This window comes from Homo sapiens, chromosome 11 (assembly GCF_000001405.40).
Source record: "Homo sapiens chromosome 11, GRCh38.p14 Primary Assembly".
In the NCBI taxonomy this organism is placed as follows: Eukaryota; Metazoa; Chordata; class Mammalia; order Primates; family Hominidae; genus Homo; species Homo sapiens.
This window is the reverse complement of record NC_000011.10, coordinates 76,517,975-76,530,739: the sequence shown is the minus strand read 5'-3', so window position 1 is coordinate 76,530,739 and position 12,765 is coordinate 76,517,975. Positions and strand designations below refer to the sequence as shown.

At 36.3% G+C, this 12,765-nt stretch overlaps 1 protein-coding gene across 50 annotated transcripts in view; it reads right to left on the bottom strand.

Annotated features, from left to right (window-relative positions):
- Positions 1–12,765, bottom strand: part of EMSY (EMSY transcriptional repressor, BRCA2 interacting) — a 108,014-nt gene that overhangs the window by 22,292 nt on the left and 72,957 nt on the right. For all 50 annotated transcript variants that reach the window (XM_047427269.1, NM_001300942.2, XM_047427298.1 and 47 more), the window contains 3 exons: positions 7,449–7,585; positions 4,105–4,278; positions 2,274–2,472 (listed from right to left, as the gene is read on the bottom strand). In XM_047427269.1, coding sequence (XP_047283225.1) covers positions 2,274–2,472; positions 4,105–4,278; positions 7,449–7,585 — 510 coding nt within the window. The remainder of the gene's footprint in view (positions 1–2,273; positions 2,473–4,104; positions 4,279–7,448; positions 7,586–12,765) is intronic.

Here is a 12,765-nt window from a genome sequence, read left to right as displayed (position 1 = left end):
CTTTGTAAGAATGTAGTAAACAGCTATACAAGGCGATAAGGGGAGGGGCAGATTATAAAAATCTGCCTTACAGTCAACTATGCCTATTCTAAATTGTGAAATTTTCTGTTATAGAATATTTTAAAAAGTAATATACAATGAAAGATGTATTAGGTTGGTGCAAAAGTAATTGCAGTTTTGCCATTAAAAGTAATGGCAACTGCTTTTGCACCAACCTAATAGAATAAAAACAGAAGATGCAAACTTATGTCCCATTCTTAGAATAAAAACTGAAGATTCAGCTGGACGCAGTGGCTCACGCCTATAATCCCAGCACTTTGGGAGGCCGAGGCGGGTGGATTACTTGAAGTCAGGAGTTCAAGACCAGCCTGGCCAACATGATGAAACCCCGTCGCTACTAAAAATACAAAAAATCAGCTGGGCATGGTGGTGCGTGCTTGTAATACCAGCTACTCGGGAGGCTGAGGCAGGAGAATCGCTTGAACCCAGGAGACGGAGGTTGCAGTGAGCCGAGATCACGCCACTGCACTCTAGTCTGGGCAACAAGAGTGAAACTCTATCTCCAAAAAAAAAAAAAAAAAAAACCCTAAAGATTCAACTAATGAAATGGCATGTTTGGGAAGTACTAATTGGTTTACAGCTCTCTTAGGAAAGGACTAACAATTTCAAAGGATAACCTAGGATTATGTATATACAGACTTCTACTGTTCATGTCCCCTTTTTGCACCAACTCATACTAAACATTTTATCTGCCCTCTTTGAAAATATATTTTGTATATCTCGAGTGCAAAAAAGGCCAGTATTGCTCAAGAAACTGCAGACCAAAAGAAATGATTGGAGAATAAGCATCAACCAAGTGTAATCAGCAGATAATTGACTCATAATCAATACAGAATGATAAAGTCCATCTTAGCAAACGGATTCAGAAAATATTACTATCACTGATAATATGCTGAAGGAAACTACCCACTCTCTATAATGAGGGACATATTATGTTTGTTAAAAATCAACATTTTCATTTATTTTTAATTGATGAATTTTCAAAGAATATTTTGAATGCTTTCTTATCCTCTCCTCACTGGCATGTCAACTTTCAGTCTTTGGCATTTTTTTTGTTTGCTACTAATAAAATTCTTATACTAGAGTTGCATGTGTATTTTTTAAATCCCCTATTCTAGATCTAGATTTTATGCTCCTGGAGGGCAAGAACTATATTGTACTCTTCTGTAGGGTCTAGCATAATGCTTAGTATGTAGTATAAACTAATAAATAATTGTCAAATTGAATTAATGGACTAATCAGCAATGTGAACCATGTAAGACTAATCAAGGAAGACTCCACCAAAGAGTTAAAATACTAGTGTTTGCACAATATGGAGACTGTGTATAAGAAAAGTGAAGTTGCTAAGAAAGCACCCCAGAGAGGATAATGGGAAGGCAGAGAGAGGGAATGGAGAGAGTGTGGAAAGAACAAGGGAAGATAAACAGCTTTGCTTAGATGCATCAGAGCACATAAGCACAGACATAAATGTACCACCCAAGGATAAGGGCAGTTAAGATAACTGAGAGACATGAGTACTAGATTTGTAGAAGGTCTCAAAGTTTATGATCATGAGTTTATTTCAAGAGGTTTCGTAGAAGAGTAACATAATTCAAACAGCACCGAGGACAAAGAGTTTTCTGCTGTAGAATCTAGCTTCATCGTTCCTTCCATATAATTAGGACAACCATATGATTATCTGGGATACTTTTCAGAGTGAAAGGGAGTACTTTAATAATTGTGCCAGAACAACATAAACTAGGACTTGTCCCATGCAAATTGGAATGTATAGTCACCCTACTTACAGCCCACTTACAGTCTACCTCTGACCACCTTGATTCTTTCTCAGGGTATAGCAATAACCATTTCAAAATATATATTCACTTCTTTACATACGTTTTCTCCTACTTACCCAAACCAGAGAGGAAGAATATGAAAATTACCATCTGGGAATCATAACTCTATCCAGTTTAATATTACCTACCTGACAGATTCATCATCTAAAGTTAATTATTTGATGAACATATTCCATGCAGGAAAGAATGGTAACCTTTACCAAAAATAAAATTTCAGCTCACCGATTTAACATCAAACAATAAAAAAAAAAAAAAAAAAGGAAAAGAATTGATAGAGCATACAAATTTGTTGTGAAATGTGTAGAAGCAACCTCTATTTTAGAATTTGGGCACTATGTCAGTAGTACTTATATAAATCAGAAGTAAAATAGATCTTACCTTGGGAACTCTGGGAGGACTCTGTAGAAGAGGAACTACTATCTGTATAATTCTGTGGTTCTTCTTTTCCTTCCTGAATAGATGAATTACCAGCCTCTGCTACCCTGGATGCTTGCTGTAATGTTTCTGTTACTAGCTGTCTTGTTTGTTCACTAACAACTGTCGCTTGAAAAGTCACTGGTTTGGGTTTAATAAGAACCTAGGAGAAAAGCAGAAATATACTGAGATAAAATTTTAGAAAACGATTTAAAAATGCTAAACTTCTAGGTCATAAACTAATATTTTCCTGGTATGGAAACTATTCTGTACGTTATACTTTTTAGGCACAGCATTGCTCATCAAAGGGTAATTCAATCTACAGACAAATTACAGTGTAAGCCATATACAATGTTTTAAGTGGTACATGCCAGAGTGCAATAGCCATGATTCTGACAAGAACCTTTGTGCCTGTTTGCCTACAACTTCAGGAGTCATTTTATAATCTGTAGACTATATAGTAAAATGATATCCACAAGCTGAGGATGGCAGAACAAAAAGACACAAGGAGTCTAGATTCCCAGTGGAATTTTTGTGCTGCAGTATCAGTCCAGGACTTCCTCCCTCTGAACTTTTATTAATATAATAAAAATAAAACCCTAATCTGTTTGAGCGAGTGTTCTTCAAGTTTTTTTTCTTTTCTTTTTTTTTTTCATTAGAAACTAAATCAAATTCCTAATTGACACACCTGCAAAAAGTAAAACTTGCTTGGGCCCTATCTTTGAAGAAACCCCAGATGAATATTGATTTGACAACTATCAGAAGCAACATGGAACATGTGTTGGATCAGCTCCTGGCAAAAGTTAAAAACAAACAGTGAAACAAGTGAAATGGGAGAAAATTTTCAAACTGGGCCATTCTACTTCAAAATCTGAACTCTAGGAGTTAATTTCAATTGGGTCCATGGAATAAAAACTATTAACTCATAATTATTTTTGTTTCTACCACATATAAGATTCTAAAATTTCTCAGACTCTGTTAAGTTACCCATTTCCAAGAGTTAAGAAGGAAAACATACTTTAGATGAAGCAAATGAAATTATTACAATTAAACTCCATAGGCAATTTGGACTTGTCACAAAGCTTATTTTTTTTTTAGATACGTAAAGTATTTGGCTATAATTCTGAGAGAACAGATTCTAAAAGTAAATTAGTAGTTTATAGGTACATTAATACCTCTTACAAAAATTCTAGGATGGCATTTCTCAACCGAAACTAATAGTGCTTCCCTCGATATTCTCAGAAAAGCAAAATACCTACAAAATAAACAGTAGCCTAGCAACATATGATTAGATCCTGAGCCTCAAATTCCAAGGCAAATTTTCAGAAAAGTTCCCTTATCTTCTATTGGTTAAAAAATAAATACAACTCTAGCTTATCTATTGTTCAAGGGTTCAAGCAAAGCTAATTTTATAAGTAAATAAAATGCTTTTGAAGGCCATGGTAGCTTATAAAAAGTAAATATTTTTCTTTGAGTGATTCTGAATGACTATGATCCTCCCTCAACCACCCCCCTCAAATCACAAAATACACCTTCAGCAAATTGTATTCCTAGGTAATTATTTCCCCATAATCTTTGCTGATAGCACAACATACACATTTAGGTATCTTTAAGAAAGTACTGAAAAGATAAATGAAGTTTTGACAATACTTGAATAATTAACACATTCAAACATAACTTTTAACAATCTGATTTCTTAAAGATTGCTGATCTTTTCCTTCAAATTTCTACCCGGGAATTATAAGAATTGAAAATATTTAAGAGCCAAGAAAAATCATCATATCTTATAGCATACCTGCGTTTTCCCTTGCTGCCCATAAACAATTTTTGTTGGGATGATTTTAGCTGCTGGTTGAACTGTAGAACCTATTCCTTTTGGCTGCGTTACAATCATTTTGGTGATGGGTCTTGTAGCAGTAAGGATAGCTGGCTTTGCTCCTGTTGGCACTGTCTGAATAGTCTTTTCTCCCTAAATTGAAGTCAATGATTATATAAGAGATTTATATGCATATAAATGATAAAGTCCTCTCACTGAAAAATCAGTAAGGTTTTACCAGGATGATGAAAAAAGGGCTGTAGATTATGTAACAAAGTATAATGTTTCCAGGAAATCAAAAATCGTAGACTTGGTTGAAATGATATAGAAAGTCATCTGACCAACTTTCTACCCAAAGAAGGAATTAATTATTCTCTGATGAGCGAATTTTAAAAAATTACCACATGCAAAAATACTTATTACACTATCCCATTAATGGAATACATATATTATAATAGTCAGAAAATTCTGGAAGAAGGTATAGTACACTGCTAATGCTTGTCTCTAAGAATTGGGATTATAAGTCTTAACCCCCACATACATATTTATTTTCTAATTTATCTGAAATAAGTATTTGTGTAATTAGAAAATTACTGTGCAATATACCAGTAGCTAAATGCACACACATAAAATACATCCCCTAAGTTCTACATATATGAAATTATAAGGATATATAGTAGAATGTCTACATGAAAAAGTATGGGCAAGCAAAATCAGCAGAGGTATTAACATTCTTTCTAAGGTTATATATAGGAAAAATTTGATGAACATATGCCATGAGGAAAGAATGTTATATATTGTTAATAATATATAAGGTTACATATAGAAAAAAAGGAAGGGAAAACTCAGAGTGCTTCCTATGTTTTACTATTCATATATTACTAATATCCTTTTAGTCTATTAACTAGATAGCTTATATCCATTAACTTTTCATCATTTTCTATACTTTCATCTACTTTATTCTTAAGTACCATTTTCTGGTCACTCATGAAATCAACATCTTTTTACATGAACTTAACTAAATTAAGTTCAAATACAGTGACTTTACTAAATTATTAAAATTTTTAAAATTAAAATCCATAAACTTAAGATGGAAATGAAAAGATTTGAGAATTTTCACCTCATCAGTTTTTCTTAATTTTTAGCCAGCATCATCTAAACGTGTGCCTATCTAAACTTAGCAGCCAGTAAAAACAAAGCACCCACGTGAGCTGGCTAAAAAGCAATCATTGTGAATTCAGAGCTAAATATAATTACAAAAATCACAATTTTAACTATCTGCTGTAATTACTTAAGGGAAACATGAAGCATCTGCCAATGGTGTTATTACTTATTTCAACACATGCATACTCTTCCCAGCACCATCTCTGGAAAGAGCTCTAGTTCATTTGCCAAGAGCCACTAGTTTGCAAGTGACCACACCTATCTATTAAATAGCTCAATGGACCCTGGCCAAGTATGACCCATTCAAGCCAAACAAAACCAACTAGCAGCCTGTTTTTCAAAAAAGCTCTTCTGATGTGTGTTGTGGGCATGCATAGGTGAGCAAGTGGTGAGTAGAGGTGATTGTGCCTATGTGGTCTTTGGCGGGGGTGGCAGTGGCAGAGTCTTGCTCTGTCACCCAGGCTGGAGTACAGTGGCAAGATCTCAGCTCACTGCAACCTCTGCCTCCCAGGCTCAAGTGATCCTCCACCTCAGCCTCCCAAGTAGCTGGGACTATAGGTGCACACCTTCACGCTAATTTTTGTAATTTTGTAGATACGGAGTTTCACCATGTTGCTCAGGCTGGTCTCAAACTCTTGGGCTCAAGTGATCCACCTGCCTTGCCTTCCCAAATTGCTGGGATTACAGGCATAAGCCTCCACACCCAGCCCAGAAAACGGTCTTATACGTTGATTTGCTTGTTTTACTAGAGCTGCCTGTGTCAAACGGTTGTTATCAGAGATATCTAACAGCTATGAATCATACATGACTCTTGGATCTTTGTGACCACAGGGCCTAGAATACAAAGCATCCCCTCTTACATATCAAGTTCTTTGAAATTGCAAACCATATTACAAAGGGTTCTGAAAATCTGAATTCTAATCCTGGCTTTACTTTTGGCTTACTATGTAAATTCAGGCTAGGAGCAATCTGTTTTCCCACACATTGAAAAAATCTAATGCTGGACCCCTACCAATGAAGCTTTTATGAGATCTATTTAAGTGAAGTATAGCAATCCATGTTCTAGTGAAGTTAGGCAAGGTAGGGACACTAACAAGCCTAAACAGGTAAGTACCAAGAATAACAAGAAGAAAATCAATGATTGAGGACTTCTTATGGGCCAGGCACTATTCTAAGCACTTTCACAATAGCTACCAGTTACTAAACAACCTCACTGGTAAAGATCATCAATCCCAATGTACACATGAGGAAATTAAGAATGAGAGAGGTTGAGTATGTCACCCAAGGTCAAACAACTACAATATGGAGAAACAAAGCCCTGTTTTGTCTAACTCCAACCCTCCTACCAACTGCCTTCAGAACTATAAATGAATCTGTTATTTATTTATTTATTTTTTGTTTGAGGCAAGGTCTCACTCTGTTGCCCAGTCTGGAGTGCAGTGGCATGATCATGGCTCATAGCAGCCTCAAACTCCCGGGCTCATGTGATCCTCCCACCTTAGCCTCCCAAGTAACTGGGACTACAGGTGCATGCTACTACATCTGGTTAAGTTTTAAAATAAATTTTGGTAGAGGTGGGGGTCTTGCTTTGTTGCCAAGGCTGGTCTTGAACTCCTGGGCTAAAGCGATTCTCCCACCTCAGCCTCCCAACCAGCTGGGATTACAGACATGTGCCACCACACCCAGTCTGATTTTATTTTTTAACAGCTCAAAGAGGTAAAAATGAAAAAAAAAAAAAAAAAAAAAGAAAGTAACAAATCCCCATCAATTAATTTAGTCTTAATCCCACATATTTCTCTTTGCCCACCCTAAGCCAAATACTAAGTCAGTATCTATTGACCATAAGCAGGAATAAAACAGTGCTCCAACTGAAGTCCCCCTACAGTTAAGCCAATGGAATTCTCTATCTGGACAAAGCTAAGCATCTAAATCATGGTCACAAGCAACCTAGCTATGAGCAAGTATGAGCAACATGCTTTAGAAATTACTGTGAAAAATGGCATCAGTTGGTGGTGCTTTAACAGTTGTTATATCCCAGCAGTGGTAAACCAAGCCATTCTGGCTATTGTGGGCTTCTCAAGTCCTTGTGCAAATATTTATATAGCTGGTCTTTAAATCCTCTGTGAATTGCTAAGTCTGCAGTTGAAGCTCTCACTTACTCCAGCATTTAGCAACGTTGTGACAACATTTTTGCCCGGGAGGCCTTGAATGGTCGTTCCTTTTCCTGTAGTCTTTTGTACAACAATCACGTTGGGCTTGGAAGTCATTGGGATTGTAGTGATTTTGGTAGTCGTTCCTTAGAAAAGGGGGAAGAAAAGGAGGCCTGAGTTAAGGACTAGAGATACTTGGTTATTTTTGTTTATATTATACACAATTAGTACATATAGTAAATGTCATTCCTAGATGACATGAAAGCTGTCAAGATGATGAAAATGAAGGCTTGGAATAGTAAGTTATAAGTCATACCAGAATGAGAGAATATTAAGAATTCACAGTTAAAGCAGTCATCTTTTTAGAATCTGAGAACCTATACACAAAACTCAGAATCTAAGAACAACAGTTTTACCATCAATATTCTTTGTCTGACTAGTTAAAAGAAACAAATCACAATCTCTATTCCATGACATGTATTTCCCCCAAACCCAGTATTATATGTGACTGAAGTGATGGGAAAATCCTTCAAAAAAGAACATGAAGTAAATGCTTAAATTTACATAACACTAGGCTCTAGAAAAAATTTATGAAAAGAAATAAGCCATGTATTTTTCTGTGATTAAAAAAGACAAAGTAGGCCAGGCGTGGTGGCTCACGCTCATAATCCCAGTATTTTGAGAGGCTGACGCAGGCAGATCACCAGAGGTCAGGAGTTCAAGATCAGCCTGGTGAAAGTCTATCTCTACTAAAAATACAAAAAAATTAGCTGGGGGTGGCGGCGGGCGCCTGTAATCCCAGCTACTTGGGAGGCTGAGGCAAAAGAATTGCTTGAACCCGGGAGGTGGAGGTTGCAGTGAGCTGAGATTGCGCCACTGCACTCCATCCTGGGCTACAGAGCAAGACTCGATCTCAAGAAAAAAAAAAAAAAAAAAAAAAAAAAAAAAGCAAAGTAAACGATATACAAAACAAGTCACAGATTCAATGTATGCTTTTGTAATCTGTAGCACTCTGGAGAATGTGAGGATAAAACTCTAATTTGCATATATAAACTTATATTGTCAATTATTAAGATCTATCTAATAGGTCTATACCTACTGATCCAAACACAGTATTACTTTGCCCTCTCCCACACATCCTTCCATAATTGGCTTCTCTTCTACCTATCAAATCTACCTTCCAACCTTCAGTTGTAAATTCTGGCGCAAATCTTTGATTTGTTCCTTGTCTTCTTCTCTTTTTCAAAAAATTTTATTTTTATTTATTTATTTTTTTTAAGGCAAGGTCTTGCTGTGTCACCCAGACGGGAGTGGAGTGGAGCAACCACAGCTCATTGCAGCCTTGACCTTCTGAGCTCAAGTGGTCCTCCCACCTTACTTTTTGATTTTTTATAGAGATAAGGTCTCACTATGTTGCCCTGGCTGCTGGCTGGTCTCAAACTCCTAGGTTCAAGTGATCCTCCTGCCTCAGCTTCACGAAGTGTTGGGACTACAGGTGTAAGCCACTGTGCCTGGACTTTTTTTTTTTTTTTTTTAAGAGAAACAGGGTCTCACTCTGTTACCAGGCTGGAGTGCAGAGGCATGATCATATCTACTGCAGGCTTCAACTCCTGGGCTCACACAATCCTCCCATCTCAGCCTCTTAGGTACCTAGGACTACAGGTATGTGCCACCATGCCTGGCTAATTTCTGTATTTTTTGGTAGAGATGGGGTCTTACTACATTACCCAGGTTGGTCTTGAACTCCTGGCCTCAAGGGATCCTCCTGCTTCAGCCTCCCAAATTGTTGGAATTACAGGCATGAGCCACCAGGCTTGGCCTGTTTCCTCGTCTTAACTCCCTATACCTCTCAACAAGATGAAAGCCCCTTAATCTCCACACTGTACCTTTTTATGATTCCTCAGTGCTTAGCACAGTGGATGACAATTACATCCTTAAAAAACTAAACTTATCATGCCAAGAACCTGAAACATGTCAACTGGTTAAATTCCCTAATTTCCCATTTCATTCCCAGTTCTAACTTTCCCTCATGTTTCAAAATCCTATTAATATATAATCTGTCCCTTAATCTACCATTTTGATCTAATTAGCATGTACTCCAGAGTACACACCATAAACTTTGATCTAAGAAGTAACTTCTTCATTATGGCTTCCCGTTACCTACCACACAAAGCCCAAACTCCTCTGCCTAGCTTTCCAGGCTTTGTCAGACCTTAATTTTTAGAATTAACTAACATACGCCTCTCCTTTAATGTGCTGGTTTCCACATTGGTCTTTGAGCATACAAATTCCAATGCTACTTTTGCTCCTGTAATTTCCTCTGCTTATGAAAAGAGGCATGTCAAGTTCTTCTTCTATAGGCCTACATATCATTTATCAAATGACTAAGCACAGAATTATTACTTAGTAAAAACATGAGCAATATGTCTTCAAAAAATAATTAAACACAATTTTATTATTTTCCACTGGAAAACCTTAATATTCCTTACTTAAGTTTTATACAAACTTACACTAAGTTTGTGTAAACTTAGTGTATACAAAGTTACACTAAGAATAAGAATATTCTAGTTATATGTTAATTTTGGCAACACTGCTACAAAAAATGTCTTTACAATATATTTGCCATTATATGTCTCATTAGTCCAAGGTAACATGCTCTGAGGTTACATAAAAGAGCATTTTAATCTATGAACTAGCTTCACAACTGTTTTTCCATTTATTTGTAGTCTCTGAACAGTCAGCTGTTAAGAACTTCAAAAACCAAGCTGCCCATGATTCACTTATACTAACTTTAACTCTTAATTAACTTTAATCCCTCACATGTGATTAACTCTATAGACCTTTTTTGACATGGTTTCATACAGACCTCTTTTGACATGATTTACTATGCTTTTGACTTTATACCAAAGTACAAGGACCACTTTTTGACAAAACTTGCTTAACAAATGAATTATATTTTTACCTACTAAAATGTCTAATCCCTTCCATTACAGAGGTTTTTCAATTTATATGATAGTTGCAAACCAAGTCCACAAGTTTAACAAAATGTGGTGGGGGGGCAAATGTCAGAAAATAGAAGAAAAAGGAATAGCATAAGGAAAAGCAAGTCTAACATTATATTAAAATAGAATATAATTTATAATTGATAGAATGATCAATTATAAATTTCTGAAATTCTAGTGAACATGTTTCTGTATCAGGGGATAAATACATTACATTGAAGAAGTATTACTCATTAAAAAAAAGTCACCCTCTATGCTTTCACAGTGGACTTCTGTTCCCATGTTACAGCAAAATTATACAAGTTCACTTGTTTAGCATTCCTTAGGGCAGATAATAAAACTCATGTATATATTCCTCTGTATCACAACACACAGCAGAGTATCTGGCTCGTAGCATATCAGAAGGACCCACCTATATAATCTTCACTTATAAAACAATCGAGATATAATGGGTGCAAATAACTGTATATCCCATTTAGATAATAATGAACTATGATATTGATGCATTCCAGGCATTCTTATTTTTTAAAAAGATCCCTGTAAAAGTTTGGGCATTATAATAGGTAGGCTTAAAGAAGAACACAAATTTATTGGCTCAGATTTTACTATTCTATTTACAGATTCTAAAATCACCTGACAATCTTGGTCTCTTAGGTAATGTTTTATGTTGCTTTGCTCAAAGAATGAACGAATGAAAAAGTGCAAAAACAATAGCTCCTTTCCTGGACACTGTACTAAAGATTAGGAGAATTAAAGTTTTGCTGTTGTCACAGGTTCTCATAACGTCCTTAGAATCAAGGTAGTGAGTTCAACTCTGAAGAATCCAATGTAATTATTCATCTAACCCTCAACAAAGCTCACAAAAAAACTTACAAATCTGATAATCTAATGTATACACATGTAAATAAATATTTGACGCTATAAAATATGAATTGGCCAGGTGCAGTAACTGACGCCTATAATACCAGCACTTTGGGAGCCCAAGGCAGGTGGATCACCTGAGGTCAGGAGTTTGACATCATCCTGGCCAACATGGTGAAACCCTGTCTCTACTAAAAATACAAAAATTAGCCGAGCGTGGTGGCAGGCGCCTGTAATCCCAGCTACTCAGGAGGCTGAGGCAGGAGAATTGCTTGAACCTGGGAGGCGGGGGTAGCAGTGAGCAGAGATCACACCACTGCATTCCAGCCTAGGTGACACAGCAGGAGTCTGTCTCAAAAAAAAAAAAAAAAAGATATGAATCAACTACAAAGATAGTCATGGCTTCCATTTAATTACTTGTTCTAATAAAAAGAACTTTCTAGAAAGTACTTTGGAAGCATTAACTTGCATTCTAGGATATTTATACAGAGGAAGTAAGAATTCCACAAAATAATTTATGTATAATAATGTTCGTCATAGAATTATTTATAATGACACACACACACACACACACACACAAGACAGCCTATAAGTAACCTAAAACTTGCTACAATAAGAAAATGGTTAAATATGAGGGGGGCATGTCAAACTACATTTACTAGCATGGGAAAATAACATTACTATAGGAAATACGGATAAAATCTGACTATATTAGATCCCAATTAAAAAAAAAATATATATATATATATATATGCGCGCACACACACACTTTATACAAACGAATAGAAAAATGAATAAAAAGAAATATACCTAAATTTTAACACAGTCCTATGGATAGTAAAAATCAAAGGTTTTTAATTTTCTTTGAACCTGGCTGTAGTTTCCAAATTCTCCCACAATGAGAGGGAAAGTATCTTTTTTAAAGCCTTCTAGTCTTATAGCTAGATGTTTGAGTGTATTTTAAGAAAAGAGCCAGGCATGGTGGCTCATGCCTGTAATCCCAGCACTTTGGGTGGCCAAGGTGGGCAGATCGCTTCAACTCAGGAGTTTGAGACCAGCCTGGGTAACATGGCAAAACCCTGTCTCTAGAAAAATTACAAAAATTAGCCAAGCATGGTGGTGTGGGCCTGTAGTCTTAGCTACCTGGAAGGCTGAGGTGTCAGGATTGCTTGAGCCCAGGAGGCTGACGCTGTAACAAGCCAATCATGCCACTGCACCCTGGCCTGGGCAACAGAGTGATACTCTGTCTTAAAAAAAAAAAAAAAAAAAAGAAAGTACTTCTTTTTTGTTTGGGGAAGATGGGACCCTAGAAAAAGCATCTGCTCATGGATGAAGACAGAAAACTGTGTAAATTCATTCAACCAGCCTTATCAGTTTACTATAAATAGGCAATGAAAGATTTTAAAACTAACCTATAATCCCAGTATCATGGATCAACAATATTATAAAATAAGAAAATTGTC